We start from the raw sequence: 24,821 nt of genomic DNA, 5'->3' as shown, positions 1-24,821 counted from the left end.
GGTGTTGGACACTGGAATATAGGGGCGACCCAGAAACAATTCCTGCTCCCTTTAATCCACTGTCTAACCATCAAGGGAATGAACAGGATGAATCCCAGAAAAGGCAGTTTTCTGGGCTGGGTCCCAAGAACCCAGGAATTCCCAGCTGGGTACAGCTGGGAGGGTCCACCTGGGGGTGATGTGACAGTCCACACAATCCTGGGCACCCCCTCCTCATCCCTGGACTCTGAGACTGTTTCCTCTGACGAGTCCTTGCCCTCTGCCTACCACCTCATTTCTCTTTGGGACCAGACGTGGATAGAGAAGTGGATCTCCCTTTGCTTCCTCACAGATTCTTCTGGCCGTTCAATTCTGGGGCTCCTTCGGGAAATGACTGACACAGCAATTTATGAATTCATTCAGCACCTATTTGCTATGGCCATACTCCATCTGCACAGGCTATTCCCACAGCTGTTGGGGATGTCATGGTAATCAAATCAGAGTTTCTTCCCCTGGAACTTAACACTGAAAGCCTCTGATAATTGTAGCAGAGTTCTAGTCTATGCCAGTTATTGAGATCATGACCTCCATGGTCCCAAACATCTTCTCCTTCCGGCTTCCCCTTCCCTCAAGGGCTTAGAATACTAGCTAACAGTTACATAACACTGTCAGGTACTCTTCTAAGTGGCTTAGAGATCATATCTCATTTAAACCTCCTAATATAGTCCTATGAGGTAGGCATTAGGATTCTCTCCATTTTATAGACGAGGAAACGCAGGCACTGGAGATAAGTAATCTTCCTTCAGACACAAGAAACAAATGGCAGAGCTGGGATTTAAACCTAGGTCACTTGATTTGGGAGGCTTTATTCTTAACCATTAGGCTAGCCTGCCTCCTTCGCTGACCACAAAAAATGTGCACTTGAGCCAGGAACTTAGGAGTTTCCTAAAGGGAGTCTGTGGTCCTGTATCTTGGATGATACAGCCATCTGTTAGCTGAGCCATAGGGCTGGTACTGTTTACAGTGAGCCCAGCAGGCCTGGAATAGAGTTGTGGGAACTGCACAGAGCTGGTATCCTTTCCTGATGGCTGTGTGTGTGTGTGTGCGCGCGCGTGTGTGCGTGCACACAAACGTATGAATGTTTCCCCCTGTGTAAGCCTCACTCAAAGGGAAAGGAGGAATATGAATAAACCGGGAGGAATGAACTAAGATTATATTCAAGAAAGAACTTCTCAACTTGGACGTGATGTGCCAGAATCTGGGGATTTGGGAAACCAAGACACCTCTTTTGTTGGGAATTAAGAATAGCAGAGATGCTCACATTCTAGATGTGCATTCCAGCTTGGTAGATGAGTAAGGAAGATGGCCAAGGAGTGGGTCCAGGCTTAAGATGCTCACACCTCTCTTTCCCACAGCTCCTGCTTCCAAAGCTGCATCTGTATATCCTACCCAGTCCCTCCAGACAGGCTGGGATAATGCTGGTGATGCAAGCGAGAGCACGGGACAGTTTCCATGGATTCCAGCCCCTTTTCCACCTCCTTTCTGAAACGCTTTTAAATTTCTTACAAGGGCCCTCCCCACAGGTTTGGGGAGGCCTTGAGGCGGTCCCTCTCTGCCTGCAGTCAAAGCACTTCGTGCATCTGTCTTTGAGAAAGGGATGTGTGTTGGGGGCATGGGTATTGATGCTGGGAGTCGAGGGTGGGAACTGGGTGGAGGGTGGCTGCACTGAGAAAACGGGTAAGCAGGACGTGAACCTTAAGAACTATAAACCTCCAAGCTGCTCTTCTCCCACGCACGCACCTTCCTCCCTCACTCGCTGGTAGGGTGGGGTGCAGCGGAGCCCTTGGCACGCCCTGGCCCCCTGCCCCAGGCACTGGCTTGGCTGTGGAGAACAGGTTGTACTCTTGAAAAACCACAAGAGGAAGTTTAGGGAGGGCTGGGGGTGGGGAAAGTTCTGGGGCCCCTGCCAAGTTTCCCTTTCCCTGCTGAGCAGTAGATGTGTTTATCTTGCTCTCAAAGACATTTAAATTTTAAATCCTCAAGTTTCAAAGAGCTGTCAAGGCCTGCCCCTTTCTAGGGGTGGCAACAGACACTGCTAGAAATGGCATTGGAACAAGTTACCCATCTGTTGGAATTCCCCTGGGATTCGTGCAGGTTGAGAAAGGCTAATTCCAGAAAGTCTCTTCTTTGGCCCCTTCACTTTTCTCTTCCCCAAAGCATTTCCTACAACCTTTAAACTCAGAGGAATGTGGCTGTAATTGCCACTTAGGAGCTGAATGGTGTTGCGGGAGCTGTCCCTAAGTTTTTACTTGTACTGTCTCATTTAATATTTATTCACCACAACTCTAGGTAGTAAACACCTCTATCTCCAATTTACAGATAGGAAACTGAGGCTCAGAAAGGCAAACTTGCTCAAAGTAATTTAGCTAGTAAGTGGCAGAGCTTGGAATTGAACGAGGATCTATCTGATTTCAAAGTCTAGGCTCTTTACTCGTGAATTAACTCTCAGTCTGAGCATTGACTTTCCTAATATATCAAACACTGAGACAGGGAGGCTGAAATATAAAGGGATTTTTTTAAATGCTGCTGCTAGTATGGGAGAGGGATAGAATTGGAAGGGATTCCTTGGAAGTTAATGTATTTAAGAAAGGATAGCCACTGGGCACAGTGGCTCACGCCTGTAATCCCAGCACTTTGGGAGGCCAAGGTGGGCGGATCACGAGGTCAGCAGTTCGAGACCAGCCTGACCAACATGGTGAAACCTCATCTCTACTAAAAATACAAAAAAAAAAAAAAAAAAAACGTTAGCCGGGCGTGGTCGCACGGGCCTGTAATCCCACCTACTCAGGAGGCTGAGGTGGGAGAATCACTTGAACCCGGGAGGCGGAGGTTGCAGTGAGCCAAGATCACGCCATCGCACTCCAGCCTGGGCAACAGAGTGAGACTCCGTCTCAAATAAATAAATAAATAAATAAAAGGAAAGAAAGAAAAGAAAGAAAAGATAGCCAAGTTAAAAAAAGATGCAGGAGGTGAGAGGTCAGGTCAAATTCTGGAAGATTGCAGCAAAGGGGAAGATTTAGGAGGAATACTATAGCTGTATGCAAATATTTAAAAGTTTGCCCTGGCAAACCTTGAAGTAGGGGGTTAGTGGGACTAGTGGAGGCAGATTTTCAAAAAACGTAGAACTTTCTAACAAATGGGGCTTAGAGCTCATGCTATAAGAGGGGCCTCTGCCAGCAAGACGACCTCAAAGCCCCTTCGCCTGTAAACCCCTGATGTGATTTTCCCCCTGCTTTCCTCTTCTATGTCATTCTTTGCTCTCCCATACTCCCTGGCCCGTGGTAGTCCCTGATCGTCCACCAGGTGGAGCTGTTGCCCCGTGTGTCACCTTGGGGTGACTGGATTGGGTGAATGAAGAGTGTTGCCGGGTTCTTCAGGCGCTGACTGGTTTCAGGGAGCCTCTGCTCCCAGCCCATCACCAGCTGTTTACACACCGGGGCCCAGAGAACTGCTTTTGATCCAGCAAAGCCCCCGTAAAAGGTGCTCTTCTGTCTTGTCCAGGCTCCGGCCAGAACGTGCAGGCCTCCGCCTCTGCGGCATACACCCGTCCCCAGGTCAGGGATTTCTTCCACATCTTCTCTTTCCCCTTCCTGACTGTCCTTTCCCTTTGAGAGAGAGGGACCCGTGTGCCCAGAGCAGAGGGCAGGACCGACGGCCCTGCGAGCCAGCAGGGTAGCTAATGTGGCATGGCCTTTTATGCCCTTCAGAGGGCATGACACCTGTGTCATCTCCCGGAAGGGGCCTCAGGAGCCCCACCTCTCTGAAACTATTTGCACTCAGTGGCCTGACCAGTTCTCCCACCCTGGGTGAAATTCCCCAGGACAGTCGTTCCTGAGGTGAGGGCTGAGGGGTTATCTCTGGAAGGAGACGGTTGCTGGTACCTCCGTCGTTGGCCCAGATCTGCTTGCTGCCCCCTCAGACCTTTAGAGAGGCACAGAGCCACTGGGCCTCCAGGGACACAGAGGCAGAGCCCAGAATGAGCAAGGACACCCTGATTTTTTTGAGACAGGGTCTCACTCTGTCGCCCAGGCTGGAGTGCAGTGGCGTGATCTCGGCTCACTGCAGCCTCGACTTCCCAGGCAGAGTTGATCTCCCCATCTCAGCCTCCTGAGTAGCTGGGACAACACGCGTGGCGCCACCATGCTCAGCTAATTTTTTATTATTTTGTTGAAATGGAGTCTCACTCTGTCGCCCCGGCTGGAGTGCATTGGCACGATCTTGGCCCACTGCAACCTCCGCCTCCCAGATTCAAGTGATTCTCCTGCTTCAGCCTCCCAAGTAGCTAGGATTACAGGCACCCGCCACCACACCCTGCCAACTTTTTGTATCTTTGACGAGGTTTCACCATGTTGGCCAGGATGGTCTTGAATTCCTGACCTCAGGATCCATCCGCCTCGGCCTCCCGAAGTGCTGGGATTACAGGTGTAAGCCACCGCGCCCAGCATACTCAGCTAGTTTTTTGTAGAGATAGTGTTTTGCAGTTTCACCCTGTTGCCCAGGCTGGTCTTGAGCTCCTGGACCCAAGCAGTCCTCCTGCCTCGGCCTCCCAAAGTGCTGAAATTACAGGCGTGGGCCACTGTGCCTGGCCAGAGACACCCATTTTGCAGGTGAGCAAACCAAGGTACTGAGAGGTCTAGCAGCTTGCTTCCTTACACACAGCCCATCTGTGGCTGAGCTGGAAGTCTGACTCAGCCATTTGGCTGTAACATTTGTGCATGTAACCACTAATCTGTGCCATCTCTCATGGAGTGGTCGAGAGAGCCTCTACAGACAAACGACCCCACTTCGAGTCCTAGCTCAGCTCCTTTCTGGCTGTGTGAAAGTTTCTTTGTCTGTAAAATGGGCATAACTATAGACCCCACCTCTCTGGGTAATGGTGAGAATTAATAATAACCAATATTAGTTGAATGCCTACTATATGTCAGGTGTCTTTTTTGCATCCTCACGGCAGACCATGAGGGAGGCATTATTATTCTGCTTCTTATACATAAGGAAACTGAGGCACAGGGGAGGCAGAGAGACTGCAGGATTAAGACTTCCAGCCAGGCGCAGTTGCTCATTCATGTAATCCCAGCACTTTGGAAGGCTGAGGCGGGTGGATCACCTGAGGCCAGGAGTTCGAGACCACCCTGACCGACATGGAGAAACCCCGTCTCTACTAAAAAGACAAAATTAGCTGGGTGTGGTGGCGCATGCCTGTAATCCCGGCTACTCGGGAGGCTGAGGCAGAAGAATCGCTAGAACCCAGGAGGCAGAGGTTGTGGTGAGCCGAGATCGCGCCATTGCACTCCAGTCTGGGCAAGAAGAACGGAACTCCGTCTCAAAAAAAAAAAAACCCACTTCCGAGCCTACGCTTCCCTAAGATTATGAGGCAGTACACACAAAGCCCTGCTGAGTGGTGGGCAGGCCATACGTCCTTTGAGTGATAGCTGCTGTCATTATCACCATATCATGGGCATCATCGTCTCCCAGATAGAGGTCCTCGGGGTGGATATGGGGCCATCTAGATCCAAAGAGACAGCCCTGGTTTCTTTCCTCACCATCCCACCTATGGCTTCATGTTATCCTCTTTTCTAAAATAAAAATCGGTCCACAAGCTCTGGCCTGTGGTCAGACAGTTGGACAGAATATTTGAAGCTGGGGCTGTCCCAGAAACTCCCAGTTCTGGCCCCAGCTTTTGCTGCTCCAACTCACCCTCCCTCTTGTTCTCTGTTCTCTTCCTTCTCTGCTGTTCCTCCCTGCCACCTCCCCTGAGGTCCCTGAGTTCTGGGAAAGGAAGCCGGAGCAGGGGCCTCAGACAGATGCAGACCTTGAGCTCCAATTTGGGCTCCAGATGGAGGAGGGAGGACCAGCCCGGGGCAGGAGCATGAGGCGCAGAGGGCCCCCAGTCTGCCTGTCCCTGGGAAGACGTCTGTTTATTATTCGCAAAGTCTTAAGCTCTGGTTTGTTAAGCTTTGCCATGCTGGGTGCTGTGGAATCCACTGGGAATAAGGCCCAGGGGAGGTTTATTCTACTCTGGCAAGTGGCTATCACAAAGCTGTCTTTGGGTTATAGAGGGGAGGAGTGCTGTTTCCTCCCAGCAGCCGGCCCCTAGGATGCAAGGCTGCCTTTTCCTTTCCTCCCAGCTCCATTGTCTTTTCTGTAAGCGGTGTCTGCTATAGAACCACAAACTTGGAGACTCTTCAAATGTGGCATCTATTTTCATCCTGGGGTTACAAGCCCTCAGATGTACTGAGTGACTGAGCGTAGGCCAGGGCATAGAACATGCTAGTTTTCTCCAGGCCTTCTCTTCCTTCTTTCCAGTCAGCTGGTACCTGCTGGTCCTGGGGGAACTCCCATCTTTTCTTTGAATTCTACCTCTAGGACCCAACTGAGTTTTTCTCTCATATCCCTTGATCTCCGAGGGTACAGCCTTTTCCGGCCTGGGCCCAGCCTTTTGGGTTCTTAAAACTTTTTTCAGTCACTGGACTTGAGCTGGGTGCCTCCTGGGTGGTCCTCAGAAAGTTTTTCCTCCCCCCTGTTTCTTCTCTGCCTTTCCTCTGACACAGGTTCTAGAAGTCATTTTTTGGTGCTTCTTGTGGGAATCTGTTGTGTGGCTTTTCTCTGAATCCTCATGTGTTCCCAGACACATGGCACTCAAGATGTTGGTGATAATAATAGTGCATCTTTACACAACACTTCCATGTGCCAGGGGCTGTTGTAAGTGCTGCCATATCCTGTATGCCATTTGTACATAAGTCAGTTTATAATAAGTATGGATATTTATTAACCCATTTCTCAGCTATTCCTCACAAACATATTCTATGAGGTTTTTTTTTTTGTTTTTTTTTTGTTTGTTTGTTTGTTTTTGAGATGGAGTCTTGCTCTGTCACCCAGGCTGGAGTGCAGTGGCACGATCTCGGCTCACTGCAACCTCTGCCTCCTGGGTTCAAGCAATTCTCTGCCTCAGCCTCCCTAGTAGCTGGGATTAGAGGCACCCACCACCACACCCAGCTAAATTTTGTATTTTCAGTAGAGACTGGGTTTCACCATGTTGGCCAGTCTGGTCTGGAACTCCTGACCTTGTGATCCACCCGCCTCAGCCTCCCAAAGTGCTGGAATTACAGGCATGAGACACTGTGCCTGGCCGAGGTTTTTTATTTTGCAGATAAAGCCCCTGAGGCACAGAGGTTAAGTATCTAGTCCAAAGTCATATAGCTGGTTGTATTGAGAGCCTGGTGGCTGAAATAACTCTGACCTCAGTCAGACTTTTCTTTTTTGTTGTTGTTTTTGTTTTTGTTTTGAGACAGAGTCTCGCTCTGTTGCCCAGGCTGGAGTGCAATGGCACGATCTCAGCTCACTGCAACCTCCACCTCCTAGGTTCAAGTGATTCTCCTACCTCAGCCTCCTAAGTAGCTGGGATTACAGGCTCCCACCACCATGCCCAGCTAATTTTTGTATTTTTAGTAGAGACAGGGTTTCGTCATGTTGTCCAGGCTGGTCTTGAACTCCTGACTTCAGGTGATCCACCCGCCTCAGCCTCCCAAAGTGCTGGGATTACAGGCGTGAGCCACTGTGCCCGGTTCAGACTTTTCATGCACACTGTGTGCACCACACACGTGTGTGTGCACATGTGTATCCACCTACCAGGGCAAGTGTGAGATTACACTGGGTTCCCTGTTGAGACATTGTCACGTACACAGTCTCAGGACTAGTAGAGCAGGCTGGTAGGCCCCTGACTGCCTGTGTGCGTGACATGCAGGGATGCACGGAGATGTGATGGTGTTGACACGAATCCCCCCGGGCAAGCCCAGAGCATCCTGGATCCCCCAGTGCCTTCTGGCCAGTGCTTTAGGATTGTCCACTAAGCCAAGAAGGTGGAAGGGAGGGAGCAAGGGTGCCCCAGCCCTGCCACAGCAGGAAGATCAGGTGTCACACACAGCCCCGGAAGCAGGAGTGGGTGGTGGTGAATGTGAGCTCTGCTAGGTGGGGCTGGGCCCTAACCTATCTGGGGAGCTCTGGTTGAATCAGCCCAACCACAGCCACCCCAACTGCGGCAATGGTGCAAACAAGCTTTTCCTCCAGCTGCCCTTCAATGCTCATTTTCCTTTCCTCGCTCTTGTATGAGACTCAGGCTTTGGGAGGAGTGTGCGATTAGGCCAGCAGCTGAGAGCGTAAGTCTGGAGGGGGTGGTTCAGCTGGGTCCTAGTGCAGGACCTCTCACCTTGGCCTTCAAGTGACACCTGAGACCTTCACCCAGCAATGGGTGGCAGCCCTGGCCTAGAGGGGATGCCACATACCCTGTCCAGAGGACAGGACTACATGGGTCGAGGACTCCTGGGCTCAGTCACCTAGTATATTCATCCAACATCTGTAAGTCTCAGAGGCCTTGGAACCATTCACTTGTCCATTCTTCATGTAGTGGAGCCACATTTGACACAGTGTTGGGTTCAAAGTCAGTGTAAAAACAAGACACACATCAAAGTTACTATTAAAGTCTCTATTTTAAAGAGACTGCTCATAAAACACAGGATACATGATTTGGACATTCTCTTCCATTTCTAAGATTCCTCAGCATGGCCAGTTTTTGTTGGAACACAGGCTCTGGTCTTTGGTTAAGCATTATGTTAAGCCTGGGTGAAGGGATCACATCATATAAATAGTACATAGGTTTCTGTGGTTGGTTGGTGTCTCTTCCAGTAGATATAACTGAATTTATGACCGTTAAATATGCACATTTAGGAATTCAGTATGCATACTTTTATGGTCTAGCTGGGCCTCAAGAAAGGTTTCAACTACAATGCTGTGGGAATCTGGAGGAAGGAGTGGTTGCTTTTGCATGGGTTAACCAGGAATTTCTTCTCAAAGGTGCCATTTGAGGAGATAAAAGAAGAATGGATTAGATGAGAAATTATTCCGGAGCAGTTTTAAATGGTGGTTGCTTTTGGGTCTTTTTACTCTTCTGAATGTTCTGAGTTTTTTACTGAAGGCCATATTATAGAAATAATTTTTATGTTATTTCTATGGCAATTATTAGGCTTATTTCTTATTCTTTTTCTATAGTATTACTGATTATTTCTTATTTCTAAAAGAACTAGTGGTTATTTCTATAATCACTATTATTTGTAGAACAATGATTATTTTTGATATGCCCTCTTCTTGCTTTTTTTTTTTTTTAGTTGAGATGGGGTCTCACTCTGTCACCCAGGCTAGAGTGTAGTGGCACAGTCTCAGCTCACTGCAGCTCCTGCCTCCTGGGCTCAAGCAGTTCTCCTGCCTCAACCTCCCAAGTAACTGGGACCACAGGCACAAGCCACCACGCCCAGTTAATTTTTTGTATTTTTGGTGGAGACAGGGTTTTGCCATGTTGCGCAGGCTGGTCTTGAACTCCTGGGCTCAAGCGATCTGCCCACCTTGGCCACCCAAAGTGCTGGTATTACAGATGTGAGCCACTGCACCCTGCCCTAATATAGTTAAAAAAAATCCAGCAGCACAATGGGGCCAAGAGGTAAAAATGTGAATAAGGGTAAAGAATACCAAGAACTAGATAACCAGGCTTGGAATTGGGCATTTTAGAGACTGACATATTAGGTCTGCTGCAGCAATTTTTAAGCCTTCTGATCTCAGGACCACTTTACATTCTGAAAAATTATTGAGGATCCCAAAGAACTTTTTTTTTTTTTTTTTTTTGAGACCGAGTCTCACTCTGTCGCCCAGGGTGGAGTGCAATGGCGCAATCTCGGCTCACTGCAACCTCCGCCTCCCGGGTTCAAGCGATTCTCGTGCCTCAGCCTCCTGAGTAGCTGGGATTACAGGCATGTGCGACCACACCCAGCTAATTTTTGTATTTTTATTAGAGACAGGGTTTCACCATTTTGGTCAGACTAGTCTTGAACTCCTGACCTCATGATCCGTCCGCCTCGGCCTCCCAAAGTGCTGTGATTACAGGCGCATGCCACTATGCCTGGCCAGAACTTTTGTTTTTTAGGCTATACCTAATAATCGGTGCACCCGACATGGCATTCCCTGGAATAAATAATATAAGCTTTTGACTTGTCCCTCCCTATACCTGTTGTTATTTTGTTTCTGATAAAAAATTTGATATGAGAAATTTTAAATATTAATTTATTTAAAGTAACAATAAGAAACTCATTGCATGTTAACATAAGCATTGTAATTTTTTTTTGGCCAGGCGCGGTGGCTCACGCCTGTAATCCCAGCACTTTGGGAGGCCGAGGCGGGCGGATCACAAGGTCGAGAGATTGAGACCATCCTGGCCAATATGTTGAAAACCGTCTCTACTAAAAATACAAAAATTAGCTGGGCATGGTCGTGCATGCCTGTAGTCCCAGCTACTTGGGAGGCTGAGGCAGGAGAATCGCTTGAACCAGGGAGTCAGAGGTTGCAGTGAGCCGAGATCGTGCCACTGCACTCCAGCCTGGTGGCAAAGCGAGACTCCGTCTTAAAAAAAAAAACAAAACGGCCGGGCACAGTGGCTCACGCCTGTAATCCCAACACTTTGGGAGGCCAAGGCGGGTGGATCACGAGGTCAGGAGATCGAGACCATCCTGGCTAACACAGTGAAACCCTGTCTCTACTGAAAAATACAGAAAAATTAGCCAGGTGTGGTGGCGGGCACCTTTAGTCCCAGCTACTCGGGAGGCTGAGGCAGGAGAATGGCGTGAACCCGAGAGGCGGAGCTTGCAGTGAGCTGAGATCACGCCACTGCATTCCAGCCTGGGTGACAGAGCAAGAGTCTGTCTCAAAAAAACAAAACAAAACAAAACAAAAAATCCATAAGCATTGTATTTTTTTAAATGAAAACTATTTTCCAAAACAAAAATAATGAGAAGTATAGCCTTGTTTTACATTTTTGCAAATCTCGTTAATGCCTGACTTCATAGAAGACAGCTGGATTTTCATCAGTTTCTGATTTAATCTGTTGCAATATGTTTTCATTGATGTATATGAAGAAAATTTGGCCTCAGGCAGGTATCTCATTAGAAAAGAGAGGACTGGCCAGGCACAGTGGCTCATGCCTGTAATCTCAGCACTTTGGGAGGCCAAGGCGGGCAGATAACTTGAGCCCAGGAGTTGGAGACCAGCCTAGACAACATGGCAAAATTTTGTCTCTACAAAAGACCCAAAACTTAGCCAGGCTTGGTGGTGTGCGCCTGTAGACCAGGAGGAGGCTGAGGTGGGAGGATTGCTTGAACCTGGGAGGTGGAGGCTGCAGTGAGTAGTGATTGTGCCACTGCACTCCAGCCTGGGTGACAGAGGGAGACCCTGTGTCAAAAAAAAAAAAAAAAAAAAAAAATATATATATATATATATATATATATAGTATATATGCACTCCAGCCTGGGCAACAAGAGCAAGGCTCCATATATATATTTTATATATATATATATATAAATAATAATTTTTAGGCCAGGCATGGTGGCTCACACCTGTAATCCCAGCACTTTGGGAGGCCGAGGCAGATGGATCACTTGAGGTCAGGAGTTCAGGACTAGCCTGGCCAACATGGTGAAACCACATGTCTACTGAAAATACAAGAATTAGCTGGGCATGATGGCACATGCCTATAATCCCAACTACTTGGGAGGTGGAGGCAGCAGAATCGCTTGAACCCGAGAGGCAGAGGTTGCGCAGCAAGCTAACATTGGGCCAATGCACTCCAGCCTGGGTGACAGAGCAAGACTCTGTCTCAAAAAAAACCCAAAATAATAATAATAATTTTTAGGCCGGGAGTGATGGCTCACACCTATAATCCCAGCACTTTGGGAGGCCGAGGTGGGGGGATCACAAAGTCAGGAGTTCAAAACCAGCCTGGCCAAAATGGTGAAACCCCGTCTCTACTAAAAATACAAAAATTAGCCAGGCGTTGTGGCGGGTGTCTGTAATCCCAGCTACTTGGGAGGCTGAGGCAGGAGAATTGCTTGAACCCTGGAGGTGGAGGTTGCAGTGAGCCGAGATCGCGCTACTGTACTCTGGCCTGGGAGACAGAGTGAGACTCCGGCTCAAAAAAAAAAAAAGAAAAGAAAAGAAACTAGCTGGGCACGGTGGCTAACACCTGTAATCCTAGCACTTTGGGAGGCTGAGGTGGGCGGATCACGAGGTCAGGAGATCGAGACCATCCTGGCTAACACAGTGAAACCCCGTCTCTACTGAAAATACAAAAAATTAGCCAGGCGTGGTAGTGGGCACCTGTAGTCCCAGCTACTCGGGAGGCTGAGGCAGGAGAATGGCGTGAACCCAGGAGGCAGAGCTTGCAGTGAGCCGAGATCGAGCCACTGCACTCCAGCCTGGGCGACAGTGTGAGACTCCGTCTCAAAAAAAGAAAAAAGAAAAAGAAAAGAAACTAGGGTGACGCCAGTAGAAATGGAAACAAGGGGGTGAGCTGGGAAACTATTTTGAAAGTAGAAGCAATGGAAATTAGTAATTATTTGGTAGGAAGATCTGAAGAGTCCTCTGCCCTTCCCCCGTGAGGCACCATGCATGCTTCCGCAAGGGAGTAGGTTGCCCTGCGCTGTAGTTTGCTGCTGGCATTCCTTCTCTCCTAATAGGCCCTGTGCTCCAGGAAGAGCATGAATGAGAAGAATCAGGGACTACCCTTGAACTTTCAGCCTGGATGACTGGCAGAATATTGGTTGCATTAACAAGTTTTAAACCAGGAGGAAAAGATGGCCATTACCATTTACCATCATTAACTGAAGAATAGGGAAAGGTGTCAGGCTATGAATGGGGGGAAATAATGGGTGGACCTTGAAATATAGCACTCTTGGCAAGGAAGTGTATTTTTCTAGGTACTAAAGATTTGAGGAGAAATATAAAAAACATCTAGGAAGGATTGCTCTGTTCTTTATTCTCAAGTAACTTAAGTTCAGTTAGGGCAATGTTTTTCAAAACTAGAAAAAAAATTTGTTTAAGAGACAGAGTCGGCCAGGCGCAATGGCTCAAGCCGGTAATTCCAGCACTTTGGGAGGCCGAGGCGGCCGGATCACTAGGTCAGGAGATTGAGACCATCCTGGCCAAGACGGTGAAACCCCATCTCTACTAAAATACACACACAGATAACCGGGCATGGTGGCACGAGCCTGTAGTCCCAGCTACTCGGGAGGCTGAGGCAGGGGAATTGCTTGAACCTGGGAGGCGGAGGTTGCAGTGAGCCGAGATCGCACCACTGCACTCCAGCCTGGCAACAGAGCAAGACTCCATCTCAAAAAAAAAAAAAAAAAAAAAAAAAAAAGAGTGACAGGGTTGGCCAGGCACGGTGGCTCACGCCTGTAATCCCATAATCCCAGCACTTTGGGAGGCCAGGGCGGGTGGATCACCTGAGGTGAGGAGTTCAAGACCAGCCTGGCCAACATGGCGAAACCCTGTCTCTACTAAAAATACAAAAATTAGCCGGGTGTGGTGGCGGGCACCTGTAATCCCAGCTACTAGGGAGGCTGAGACAGGAGAATTGCTTGAACCCAGGAAGCAGAGGTTGCAGTGAGCCGAGATCGCACCACTGCACTCCAGCCTGGGCAACAAGAGCGAGGCTCCATCTCAAAAAAAAAAAAAAAAAGACAGGGTCTTGCTCTGTAGTCCAGGCTGGGGTGCAGTGGTGCAATCGTAGCTCACCACAGCCTTGGGCTCAAACGATCCTCCCACCTTAGCCTCCCCAGTAACTAAGACTACCGGTGCATGCCACCATACTTGGATAACTTAAAAATTCTTTTGGTAGCAACAGCGTTTCTTCTATGTTGCCCAGGCTGGTCTCAAAATCCTGACCTCAAGTGATCCTCTAGCCTTGGCCTCCCAAAGTGCTGGGATTATAGGCATTAAAATTAAATTAAAAATGTTTTAATTTTTTTTTTTTTTGAGACGGAGTTTCGCTCTTGTTGCCCAGACTGGAGTGCAATGGCGCAATCTCAGCTCACCTCCAAACCTGCACCTCCCATTTTCAAGTGATTCTCCTGCCTCAGCCTCCCAAGTAGCTGGGATTACAGTATGCACCACCATGCCCAGCTAATTATTTTGTATTTTTAGTAGAGACGGGGTTTTTCCATGTTGGTCAGGCTGGTCTCGTCCTTCTGATCTCAGGTGATCTGCCCGCCTCAGCCTCCCAAAGTGCTGGGATTACAGGTGTTAGCCACTGCACCCAGCTGAAATGTTTTAATTTTAACTCATTTTATACACATGCATACAAACACACATCTATGTGTGCGTGTGTGTGTGTGTGTATGTGTGCATATATATACACATATATATATATTTTTTTTTTAGATGGAGTCTCGCTTTGTCACACAGGCTGGAGTGCAATGGTGTGATCTCAGCTCAATGCAACCTCTGCCTCCCGGGTTCAAGTGATTCTCCCGCCTTAGCCTTCCGAGTAGCTGGGATTACAGGTGTGCGCCATCACACTCGGCTAACTTTGTGTTTTTGTAGAGAGGAGGTTTCACCATGTTGGCCAGGCTGGTCTCGAACTCCTGACCTCAGGTGATCCACCTGCCTCGGCCTCCCAAAGTGCTGGAATTACAGGCGTGAGCCACCATGCCCGGCCAATATATTATAAAACAAGACTCACTGAACAATACTTACCCTGGCCACAGTTGATATACTTTTGATGTTTTAAAATTCTATTTTGCTGTTTCATTTTTAAAACGTGCTGGTCATGATTAGCTTCATGACTTCATGAACAGTAAAACGACTTGCCATTTAAAAAGCACTAAGTTGGGGAGGCATCACTCTCAAAGTTCTATTATCAGCAGAAGTGGACTGACTAATATAAGGCAAAGGGAATGTATTAGAAGAAGGTCAGAAACTCATAGACTCACTAGGAAAGCTGCAGAACCAGGCTTGGAAATGGACAAAGTGCCAGGGGCTCGAAAGAGAGAACTACAGGAAGATGAGGGCAGCTGGCTGTTACCTCTGCCAGTCTGCACATCGTGGAAATGGGTAGGTTTCTGTGGTACAGGTCAGGCAGCCTGGCTCCTGGATTTACAATAGGGGAAACGGAACTCCCAGAGGGAAGTGGCTGTGCTGTCAGGGAGGGGGCTGGACACCCAACAGCCAGAGAAGAATAAAGTCTACCAAAGGTAACAGGACATGGGCACATTAAAAAGATACCTCACTGTGAGTGGTATACTTAACATGGCAGTCTAGGCGGGCGTGCCCGTGCCCGGCTTGTGGCCTTCTCATGTGCTAAATTCCATCTTCAGAAACCAATTGGCCATAGGTATTGAAATCAAATGCCTGCAAAAGATCCCAGGCCTCTGCCTTGGTAATTCCACTTTCCAGCCTCTGTCCTAATTAAATAATTCTAAGTGCAGAAAAAACCTTGTCAGCTGGGTGTGGTGGCTCACGTGTGTAACCCCTAGAAGTTTGGGAGGCCAAGGCAGGATAATCGCTTCAGGCCAGGAGTTCAAGGCCAGCCTGGACAACATAGCAAGGCCCCATCTGTACAAGAAATAAAAAAGAGTAGTCAGGTGTGGTGGCATGTGTCTGCAGTCCTAGCTACCCAGGAGGCTGAGGCAGAAGAATCGCTTGAGCCCAGGAGTTTGAGGCTTCAGTGAACTGTGATGGCACCACTGCATTGCAGCCTGTGTGACAGGGCAAGACCTCGTCTCTTAAAAAAGAGTCGGCCAGGTGCAGCGACTCACGCCTGTAATCCCAGCACTTTGGGAGGCCAAGGCAGGTGGATCACCTGAGGTCAGGAGTTTGAGACCAGCCTGACCAACATGGTGAAACCCCGTCTCTATTAAAAATACAAAAAATTAGACCGGTGTGATGATGCGTGCCTGTAATCCTAGCTACTTGGGAGGCTGGGGCAGGAGAATCGCTTGAACCCAGGAGGCGGAGGTTGCAGTGAGCTGAGATCGCGCCGTTGCACTCTGTCTCAAAAAAAAAAAAAAAAAAAGAGTCAGTTGCAAAATATATGTGGTAACATGAAAATTATATGGTAACGTTAAGAGAAAAATCAGGATGCAAAATTGTACATATATTTACAACTCTGTATTTTAGACACACACACACAAAGACTTGAAGGAAATATACCACAGTGTTAACAGTGGTTATTTCTTGGGGGAGCAGAACTAAAAGGGTTTTGTTTTTCTAGTGCTTTTTTCACTTTTTGAAATGTTCATGAAAAATCAAAAACATGTCATGAGTTGTGTTTCCATAAGTATTTGGAAAATTAGTCTTCTTACTTTAATAGCATCTCACAGGGGACAGTAGGTGCCGAGAGTAAAGTTGGCAGGAAGGAGTACAGTGTGAAGGCCCAGAGAAGTACCCTGTGAGGTCACAGCCGCCTCTGCCCCACGTTTCCAATAAGCCTGCACTATCTTCCAGCCCTGCAAGTCCTGGGCCACCAGTAAAGTTGTGAAGTATCCAGGTGACTCTGGGGTGACCGGCTCCCGTTGTCATGGCAGTTAGGGGTGGGTGAAGTCAGGTGAGGGGCAGATGACTCAGCTTCAAGCCCCAATAACCTACGGATGGGCACAGAGTGGGTCTGAAGTGGAGCACACATTTCTTTTTGAGGCCTGCTTTTCCCCCTTGTCCCTTTTAGCAGGATGTAGCGGGGAACTAAGGTGGCCAGAGCAGGAAGTCTCCCATAGAGTCTGCCTCCCCAGCTCAGCAACAGAGGAGGAGGTGGAGTCTGGATTGAGCCCCAAGATAAGGAACATGCAGCAGCTGAAGAGGGAGATCAGAATAAACAGCTGTGCCCCCAGGAGAATGAGCTCCACATTCCACTCTTTGACCCCACCCCCAATTCCCACTTCTCCCAAGTGCCTTCCTGCACCCCACCCCCATCCACGCACACTCAGTGTTCCCACCCGCTCCAGGGGCCTCCCCTCCAGCCTTGGCTCAGCTCCCTTAGAGCTGCCTTCCTTCCCCCAGTCCCCTGAGCCAGAGGCTCTGGGGCCGCTCTCCAGCTGTCTGGAAGGAGTGAGTACTCAGGACAGGTGGCCGGAGGCAGATGGAAAGGGGCCTCTTCCAGGCTGGACTCCACCTGCCGGGCTGGGCCACCCTCAGACTCTCCCCTGGGCCGCTCCAGGAAGGCCTGGGAACACAAGAGGGCCAGGCTGTGGTGGTGAGTCTGGGGAAGGCGAGGCAGGACCTGGGGCATGGAGAGGAGACAGTGGAGTGGTCCTGGAGGCCGGGTCTGTGCACATCTGGTCAGCCTCACTGTGGGTGGGCCTTGCCCTCCAGGAGCCCACAGTCCAGTAGGGGAGACAGACAGCAGGTACCAGATGTGCCTCCTGAGGTGGTCTCTGCACAGCTCTGGGAGGTCATGCCTCATCATAGCCTCATCATAGTATCTAGGGGTATCCCCAGCTCCACAGAACAACCAGAAGGCTCCATATTTCCTGAGGGTTCAAGTCACTGCCCCAAACACCCCATATTACTTTCTAGACATACTACCCTGGGATTTAAAATTTAAGAGAAGGAGCAGATATTTCTGTCTCCTGGAGCTGGACCAATCCCTCAGGCCACCACAAGTATAATGAGCACCCCTTCTTCTGTGCTACCCCCATACCAGCTCCAACCTGAGCGGCAAGACCCAGATGGACATGGGCACCTAGGGGCTTTGGGGCAGCACTGGTTTACCACGTGTCCCTCCATATCCTGAAGATGTAGGCCTCCGTGGACACACCTGTATTCCTGAGCTGTGCATGGCCTCTGTCCTGGTTGCACAGAGGATTGGACCCACAGGGCAGATGGGTGAGTGTTTGCCTCAGGTACATTGGACATCTTTGCCCTTGGTGGGAGAATGGTTGAAATAGGGAGGCATGGTGCATTCCAGAGGCTGCCCATTGTCCTGGCTGTCTGCAGGGAGGGCACCCCCATCCATCCCCAGTGCCCAGTGAGAGGAATTTTTTTTTTTTTTTTTTTGAGACAGAGTTTCACTCTTGTCGCCCAGGCTGGAGTGCAATGTTGTGATCTTGACTCACTGCAACCTCCACCTCCGAGGTTCAAGTGATTCTCTTGCCTCAGCCTCCCAAGTAGCTGGGATTACAGGCATGCACCATCATGCCTGGCTAATTTTGTATTTTCAGTACAGATGGGGTTTCACCAAGTTGGTCAGGCTGGTCTCAAACTCCTGACCTCAGGTGATCTGCTCATCTCGGCCTCCCAAAGTGCTGGGATTACAGGCATGAACCACTGTGCCCGGCCCCAGTGAGAGTATGTGTGGGGGTCTCACTGCCCTCTTAGTCTCTAATTGCTGGCAACCTGGCATGGTGCCACATCACTGTATTTAAATCCCTCCTTTGAGGCTCCCAAGGCCGTCTAATGTCCCACATCTTTAACAAACTACTGGACAGGTGTCCCCTTCTATAGCCACTGCCAGCCAGCAGACTCAATAAATATATGTTAATAATAGCCAGGACTAGCTACATAGTTTGCAGAGCCCTTGTTCAAAAACTATTAAGAATTTCAAGGCTGCGTGCAGTGGCTCATGCCTGTAATCCCAACACTTTAGGAGGCAAAGGCGGGAGGATCTCTTCAGGCCAGGAACTCGAGACCAGCCTGGGCAACATAGTGAGACCCTGTCTCTAAAAAATAATAAAAAAAAAAAAAATTAAAAAATAAAATAGCTGGTGGTGCCTGCTTGTATTCCTAGCTACTCAGCAGGCTGAGGTGAGACAATCACTTGAACTCAGGAGTTCGAGGCTGCAGTGAGCTATGATCATGCCACTGCAATCCTACAGTCTTGGCAACAGAGTGAGACCCTGTCTCTTAGGAAAAAAAAAAAAAAACCGTTTCAAGGTGGTGGTGACAGAGCATTAACCAAGTTTGGGACCCGTCCTGAGCATGGGACCCTGTGTGGCTGCACAGGTCACAAACCTATTTGGCCTTGAAAATAGCGAACACGAACGTGTATTGAACACTTGCTGTGTGCCAGACATTGTGCTGGGCTGGGTGCTTACCACGCATAATCTCATTCCTTCTTCTCAACAGCCCTGTTATCCCTACTGTGCAGATAAGGAAACTGAAGCTTTAGCTGAGTCATCTCCCTTGCTGAGGTCATCCCGCTCCTAAGTGCTAGAGCTGGGAACGGAACCCAGCTCATCTGTCTTTGGAGCCTGAGCTCTTTACCCATGCCTGTGGACAGCTTCAGCCTTCAGTGGCAGGGAGGCTGCTGGCGGAGGGCAGCTGCTTCCCTTGCCACCTTCTGCCATATCATGAGCAGGAAGGAAGATGAGGCAAGAAATAGCAGCCGACAGTGTGGCAACGGTGACCGTGGTGGTAAGGGTGTCCAACCCGGCAGAGGCGATGGGCAGACAAAAATGAGATGGGCACAGGAATTGTCTGAGCTGGAGGCAGCTGATAGATAGCACAGCTGTGCTCTCCACACCTCGCCCAGCATGGCCATCGCCGAACCCACTCCTCTCTCTCCCCTGATGTCACCTCCAGCTCTGCCTCTCTCTTCCTCTTTATGGCCACAGTTTCCTCTCCCCAGCTCTCTCTTCCACTCCTTCCCTGGCCACCCTCCACCAGGGAGGTCATCAGGTCTCCTCTCCAGCTGTGTCCTCCGTATTCCCATGCTTAGCATCATAGTAAGAGCAGCCACGATTTAGTGAGCACCTACCACATGCTAGGCACAGTGCTAGGGACTTTACAAGTTTGTAATCTTCTCTCCACAAACCTGTAAGCAATTTTTACCCCCATTTCATAACGGGCGGCCGGGCGTGGTGTCTCACGCCTGTAATCCCAGCACTTTGGGAGGCCAAGGTGGGCGGATCACCTGAGGTCGGGAGTTTGAGACCAGCCTGACCAACGTGGAAAAACCCCGTCTCTACTAAAAGTACAAAATTAGCCGGGTGTGGTGGCAGGAGCCTGTAATCCCAGCTACTTGGGAGGCTGAGGCAGGAGAATTGCTTGAACCCAGGAGGCGGAGGTTGCCGTGAGCTGAGATTGAGCCATTGCCCTCCAGCCTGGACAACAAGAGCAAAACTCTTGTCTCAAAAACAAACAAACAAACAAACAAAAAAAACTGAGGCTTAGAGAGGCTAAGAGATCTGTCCAGGGTTACACAGCTGGTGAGCAGTGAGGAGGAGATTTGGGCTCTGGTGTTAAGCCCACACACTTTCTGCCCTCCTTACCACCTTCCCCATGGGTTGGGTTGGCCTGAGTACAGTGGTTTCCTGAGCAGGGAAGGAGATACGCAATTGAGAAATGGTCAGTTCGAGGGAGGAATAAATTGGGTATGGTGAGAGAGACATTCACCTCCAACCTCATTTGGCATTAGGTGGGGGTGGAGTCGGGTGTCTTTTTTTTTTTTTTTTTTGAGATGGAGCCTCGCTCTCTCACTCAGGCTGGAGTGCAGTGGCGCGATCTCGGCTCGCTGCAAGCTCTGCCTCCCGCGTTCACGCCATTCTCCTGCCTCAGCCTACCGAGTAGCTGGGACTATAGGCGCCTGCCACCAAGCCTGCCTAATTTTTTTGTATTTTTAGTAGAGATGGGGTTTCACCGTGTTAGCCAGGATGGTCTCGATCCCCTGACCTCGTGATCTGCCCGTCTCGGCCTCCCAAAGTGCTGGGATTACAGGCATGAGCCACCGCGCCCGGCCTAGTGGTGTCTTAACCACCTGGAAGGCACTCAGACACTTGGGAAGCTGACCTGATGGAGGTGAAGGGCTGGAGACATGGATGAGGACAAGGCCCCTTTTTCACGCCTTTACCCATCAGCATCTTGGCACCAAAGAATGGGCTGGGATAGGAACTAGGGGAGGTTAGGCTGCTGTAACACAGACTCCAACAAGAGTGGCTTAGCAAAATGGAAATTTCTCCCATACAGATCCGGGTGGGTGATCTGACCCCTTGGTGGTGTTGAGGGCCCAAGCCCCTCCTGTGCCCTTGCGTGTGGGAGATGGCATCCCACCATGGCTGCTGGGTCCGTCAGCCAGCCAGTGGGGAGGGAGGAAAGTGACGAGAAAGAAAAGGCACTGCCCTTCCTTTTCAGAGCATGACCTCAAAGTTGCCAGATGACATCCCTTTGGTCACCAGCTGATCACATGCCACACTTAGCTGACAGGGAGTTTGGGGAACATACATAGTGGAGCTTCTAGTACCAAAGGTACAAGAAGGGAAAGTGGATTTTAGGGGACAGTTGGCAATCTTTGCCATGAGATCTAGATGAGAAGGGTATGGGGAGCCTGTGTCATGTGGGTGAGGATGGCTTTCCTATGGGGACCTGCTGGGAGAAAAATGTTCCCAGCTGGACTTCTTTTTGTGAGGGGCCTAGAGCAGAGGGACCAGAACCCCCTTGGCTAATGCCCTCACGCTGGACTCCCTCCCCTCTGGTCAAAGGTGGAGGGTCTGATTCTCCTTCGCCTTGACCAGAGGCCCCTTGGAGGTCATCATGGAGCCCTTCTTCCAGGAGCACCCTGTAGGATCAGGGTGAGGTTCATTGAGGAGCACCATATTTTCCCCTTGGCAGGGGGGCGGCGGGGGGAGAGGGTCTGTGCTGTTCTCTGATGAGGTAGAGGAGGGTCATGTCTCCATCCCTTAGAGAGGTCGTTGAGAAGGTCAAATGTAATGTGAGCAGGGTCGAGGCAGGGAGGTCAAGGTTTGTCAAAAATAGGGGAAAAAGAGGTTTATTTTCAAACGAGACCTAACAATTGACAGATAGCTTATCCCTTTGATCACCAGTTGGTCACAGGTCACATTTAGCTGACAGGGAGTTTGGGGAACATACGTAGTAGAGCTCTTCTCTGGAGGTGGGAATCTCCATGTGGCTAGAGGCTGACAGGCAGCCTTGTGGGTCCAGTGCTGACTCATTCATTCACTCACTCATTAATTCACTCATCCGCTCAGTGTCTGTTTATTAAGTGCTTACCATGGATACACCGGGTACCATGTTCCGTGTGTGTGAAAAAGGAAAGAACAAGATGGGCACAGTCCCTTACCTCTGTAGCTTATAAGCCTTGTTTTCCCTGGTTCCCTTTCTGCCTCCCTGGGGAGGAGAGACCAGGCCATCACAGCTCTGAGAGAGCCACCCTTGTGACTCAGAGCCCAAAAGGCCCTAAGGGAGCCCATGAATGCATCTGATAGGCCCTCACCTCTGAGCCCGCCATCGTGGGGCGGCCGGGGTGCAGGATGGGCCAGAGTGCCGGAGGGGAGGGCAGTGGAGCATTGGAGGTGCGGTTTCACTTCCCTCTCACACCAGGCGTGGAATCTGATTTTTCTCAGTTTGGTGAGGTGTGTGACTTCTTCTGTGAGCTGAGGGGAGATGTCTTCACTCACCCCTCCTCCAACTCTAGCTGTCCCTCCAGTGTTCCAGGTTGGATGGGATCTCTCCTTCCCATTCTTCCCATTACCCGTGGCCCTAGTTCACCAACTGCACCTCTTTGCTCCAGGAAAGAAGGTGGCGTGGCAATTGGAAATCTCTGTGGAGACACTTCCTCTGTGAGGCCTTGGTCTCTCAGACTTCTCCCTGGGGCTTGGCTTCCTGGGCCCCTCTTGGCCTTGCTGGAAGAGAGGTCCCCCTGCCCTGGCCTGCTCGGAGAGCTGTCAGGCTCCCTGTTTCCTCTCACAGTTAGATCCCAGACCTTCTGTCTGCCTGCGTGCATGGGTCACTCTCACTTTATTCCCCAAGGCATGGCCTCATGCAGGCCCTGCTTTCCTCCCTGGATTTCTTTTTTATTTTATTTTATTTGACTTTATTTTTTGAGATGGAGTCTCACTTTGTCACCCAAGCTGGAGTGCAGTGGCATGATCTCGTCTCACTGCAACCTCCACCTCCTGGGTTCGAGCGATTCTCCTGCCTCAGCCTCCCACGTAGCTAGGATTACAGGTGTGCACCACCACACTGGGCTAATTTTGTATTTTTAGGAGAGACGGGGTTTCTCTCTATTAGTCAGGCTGGTCTCGAACTCCTGACCTCAGGTGATCTGCCCTCCTCAGCCTCCCAAAGTGCTGGGATTACAGGCATGAGCCACTGCGCCCGGCCCCTTAATTTTGTATTTTTAGTAGAGACAGGGTTTCACCATGTTGGCCAGGCTGGTGTCAAACTCCTACCCTCAGGTGATTCACCTGTCTCAGCCTCCCAAAATGGTGGAATTACAAGCGTGAGCCACCATGCCTGCCCTGCTTGCCTGGACTTCTGAGTGGCCCCAGCCTCGCAATGTCACTTCATGCTTTCCTGCTACTGAACAGTGCCAGTGGCATGGCTAAGGAGAGGGACCCTCCTCATCACTGAGGGTGGACTGAGATCCTCACAAGATGCAGGTTCTCCTTCCATGTCACTGGAGGCGCATAAACCCCTCTGCCTCTTCCACACACCAGCTGTGTTATCAGGGTGAATTATTATTATTTTTTTTTTTTGAGACTGAGTCTTGCTCTGTCACCCAGGCTGCAATGCAGTGGCGTGATCTCCGCTCACTACAAGCTCCGCCTCCTGGGTTCATGCCATTCTCCTGCCTTAGCCTCCCAAGTAGCTGAGACTACAGGTGCCCGCCAACATGCCTGGCTAATTTTTTGTATATTTAGTAGGGACGGGATTTCACCATGTTAGCCAGGATGGTCTCCATCTCCTGACCTCGTGATCCACCTGCCTCGGCCTCCCAAAGTGCTGGGATTACAGGTGTGAGCCACCGCACCCAGCCATGGGGTGCATTCTTAACCTCTCTGTGCCTCAGTGCCCTTATCTGTAAGTTGGAGATAATAATAGTATCCACCTTACAGGGCTATTAGGAGGATTACATGAGTTGTTAGGAGGCTTTATGCACGTACAGCACTCAGAACAGTGCCTGGCCCTAATAAGTGTATGTATTAGGCTGTTATTGTGACACAGGTGTTTGCCTGATGTAAACACTGGCAAAACTTTTAGGCCCCAATGCTAGTATATCAACCTAGGGATATCTAAGCCAAATAAAATAATAAAACCTTCAGAGTCAGTCTTAACGTACAGATTCCCCCATTGTACAGTTAAGATGGTCAGTGACAGGGTCAGGACCCTGCTTGCATCCTGTATTTTTTGCTTTTAGTGTTGGATTTTGTACTTAGTGTTTAATAGATGATAGATGGCGGATGGATGAGTAGATACAGACTGGCATTCACAGGTACCCAAAGGATACGGCTACCCTAGTTATTATAATATTTAAATACTACCAGTTCTCGCTATTCTCACCAGTTATATTCTGTACAGTCACCACGAACACCAAACTGGTGAACACTGGCCCATTGCTCCTAGGGGAAATACAGGGTTAGGTTTCTGTGAGCCACTGGTCACAAGACTTTCATCAACTAATCAATACATAACTTTGTTTTCTGTGTGTTTCTGTTTGAAGACACCTTATTGAATATATAGTTAACTCATTAACATTGAACTCATGCCCCACAGCACGATACTTCATGCCCAAACAAACCTGATCTAATGTATTTTCTCTGTAAGGCGCATACAGTCATCTTGTACTTAGAAACATTCGCCAGCACGTCAGCCCTAGGCTCGGGGGCCATTTCAAACAGCGAAATCAACAAAAAACCCAGCAATGCAGAAAAGGTGGCACTAAGTAGACTGTGACAAGGACACTTGTTTACATTACGAGAGCTGAAACAGGCAGAGCACTGCCCTGTCCCACCTCAGCCAGGAACATGCATGTTGGGTGACTCAAATTTTTCATGGCTTTGCGCATGTCTGTGAAAGATGACAAAGCACCTCAAGTATTGATTTCGGGGTCACAAATTTTAGCAAGGAGGCAAATTCACAAATACAGACTCCATGAATAATGGGGATTGGCTGTACCCGTACATGGTCCCCCTCTTAGTCCTATCCCCACAAGATGCAGCCATCTGCATATCTACTGCCTG

At 49.6% G+C, this 24,821-nt stretch overlaps 1 protein-coding gene across 9 annotated transcripts in view, besides 16 other annotated features; it reads left to right on the top strand.

Moving 5' to 3' along the window:
• Positions 1–24,821, top strand: part of CCND3 (cyclin D3) — a 115,103-nt gene that overhangs the window by 2,297 nt on the left and 87,985 nt on the right. For 2 of the 9 annotated variants that reach the window (NM_001287434.2, NM_001424055.1), the window contains exon 2: positions 17,549–17,730. The exons of the other annotated variants lie outside the window; for them this stretch is intronic. The gene's annotated coding sequence lies outside the window, so the exon portion shown is untranslated. The remainder of the gene's footprint in view (positions 1–17,548; positions 17,731–24,821) is intronic. 9 annotated transcript variants of the gene reach the window in all.
• Positions 1,247–1,836: an enhancer, noted in NCBI's record as "OCT4-NANOG-H3K4me1 hESC enhancer chr6:42013641-42014230 (GRCh37/hg19 assembly coordinates)". NCBI's record gives its function as "activates a minimal SCP1, AML or CMV promoter by ChIP-STARR-seq in primed H9 embryonic stem cells {active_cell/tissue: H9 hESC(primed)}" and the evidence as "EXISTENCE:reporter gene assay evidence [ECO:0000049][PMID:30033119]".
• Positions 1,513–1,562: an enhancer, noted in NCBI's record as "active region_24539". NCBI's record gives its function as "activates an Ori minimal core promoter by ATAC-STARR-seq in GM12878 lymphoblastoid cells {active_cell/tissue: GM12878}" and the evidence as "EXISTENCE:reporter gene assay evidence [ECO:0000049][PMID:35858748]".
• Positions 1,837–2,427: an enhancer, noted in NCBI's record as "OCT4-NANOG-H3K4me1 hESC enhancer chr6:42013050-42013640 (GRCh37/hg19 assembly coordinates)". NCBI's record gives its function as "activates a minimal SCP1, AML or CMV promoter by ChIP-STARR-seq in primed H9 embryonic stem cells {active_cell/tissue: H9 hESC(primed)}" and the evidence as "EXISTENCE:reporter gene assay evidence [ECO:0000049][PMID:30033119]".
• Positions 1,863–2,012: an enhancer, noted in NCBI's record as "active region_24538". NCBI's record gives its function as "activates an Ori minimal core promoter by ATAC-STARR-seq in GM12878 lymphoblastoid cells {active_cell/tissue: GM12878}" and the evidence as "EXISTENCE:reporter gene assay evidence [ECO:0000049][PMID:35858748]".
• Positions 3,020–3,069: an enhancer, noted in NCBI's record as "active region_24537". NCBI's record gives its function as "activates an Ori minimal core promoter by ATAC-STARR-seq in GM12878 lymphoblastoid cells {active_cell/tissue: GM12878}" and the evidence as "EXISTENCE:reporter gene assay evidence [ECO:0000049][PMID:35858748]".
• Positions 3,781–4,281: an enhancer, noted in NCBI's record as "H3K4me1 hESC enhancer chr6:42011196-42011696 (GRCh37/hg19 assembly coordinates)". NCBI's record gives its function as "activates a minimal SCP1, AML or CMV promoter by ChIP-STARR-seq in primed H9 embryonic stem cells {active_cell/tissue: H9 hESC(primed)}" and the evidence as "EXISTENCE:reporter gene assay evidence [ECO:0000049][PMID:30033119]".
• Positions 7,897–8,118: a silencer, noted in NCBI's record as "fragment chr6:42007359-42007580 (GRCh37/hg19 assembly coordinates)". NCBI's record gives its function as "represses an EF-1alpha promoter that drives an FKBP-Casp9 reporter gene in an ReSE screen in phorbol 12-myristate 13-acetate-treated (for megakaryocytic differentiation) K562 erythroleukemia cells {active_cell/tissue: K562(+PMA)}" and the evidence as "EXISTENCE:reporter gene assay evidence [ECO:0000049][PMID:32094911]".
• Positions 16,588–17,082: an enhancer, noted in NCBI's record as "ENSG00000112576_6:42106373-42106867 (NCBI36/hg18 genome assembly) insert fragment". NCBI's record gives its function as "drives selective reporter gene expression in differentiated C2C12 myotubes {active_cell/tissue: C2C12}" and the evidence as "EXISTENCE:reporter gene assay evidence [ECO:0000049][PMID:22144875]".
• Positions 16,588–17,592: a biological region, named in NCBI's record as "skeletal muscle cis-regulatory module in CCND3 intron".
• Positions 16,831–17,592: an enhancer, noted in NCBI's record as "H3K27ac-H3K4me1 hESC enhancer chr6:41997885-41998646 (GRCh37/hg19 assembly coordinates)". NCBI's record gives its function as "activates a minimal SCP1, AML or CMV promoter by ChIP-STARR-seq in primed H9 embryonic stem cells {active_cell/tissue: H9 hESC(primed)}" and the evidence as "EXISTENCE:reporter gene assay evidence [ECO:0000049][PMID:30033119]".
• Positions 18,854–19,148: an enhancer, noted in NCBI's record as "tiled region #12575; HepG2 Activating non-DNase unmatched - State 10:DNaseD, and K562 Activating DNase matched - State 5:Enh". NCBI's record gives its function as "activates a minimal TATA promoter and a strong SV40 promoter by Sharpr-MPRA in HepG2 and K562 cells {active_cell/tissue: HepG2 | K562}" and the evidence as "EXISTENCE:reporter gene assay evidence [ECO:0000049][PMID:27701403]".
• Positions 18,854–19,188: a biological region, named in NCBI's record as "Sharpr-MPRA regulatory regions 12575 and 14060".
• Positions 18,894–19,188: an enhancer, noted in NCBI's record as "tiled region #14060; HepG2 Activating non-DNase unmatched - State 10:DNaseD, and K562 Activating DNase unmatched - State 5:Enh". NCBI's record gives its function as "activates a minimal TATA promoter and a strong SV40 promoter by Sharpr-MPRA in HepG2 and K562 cells {active_cell/tissue: HepG2 | K562}" and the evidence as "EXISTENCE:reporter gene assay evidence [ECO:0000049][PMID:27701403]".
• Positions 19,065–19,114: an enhancer, noted in NCBI's record as "active region_24536". NCBI's record gives its function as "activates an Ori minimal core promoter by ATAC-STARR-seq in GM12878 lymphoblastoid cells {active_cell/tissue: GM12878}" and the evidence as "EXISTENCE:reporter gene assay evidence [ECO:0000049][PMID:35858748]".
• Positions 19,175–19,234: an enhancer, noted in NCBI's record as "active region_24535". NCBI's record gives its function as "activates an Ori minimal core promoter by ATAC-STARR-seq in GM12878 lymphoblastoid cells {active_cell/tissue: GM12878}" and the evidence as "EXISTENCE:reporter gene assay evidence [ECO:0000049][PMID:35858748]".
• Positions 19,475–19,534: an enhancer, noted in NCBI's record as "active region_24534". NCBI's record gives its function as "activates an Ori minimal core promoter by ATAC-STARR-seq in GM12878 lymphoblastoid cells {active_cell/tissue: GM12878}" and the evidence as "EXISTENCE:reporter gene assay evidence [ECO:0000049][PMID:35858748]".

Source organism: Homo sapiens, chromosome 6 (assembly GCF_000001405.40).
Source record: "Homo sapiens chromosome 6, GRCh38.p14 Primary Assembly".
NCBI classification, from domain to species: Eukaryota; Metazoa; Chordata; class Mammalia; order Primates; family Hominidae; genus Homo; species Homo sapiens.
The sequence above is the reverse complement of the archived record's forward strand: the minus strand, read 5'-3'. Positions and strand labels throughout refer to the sequence as shown.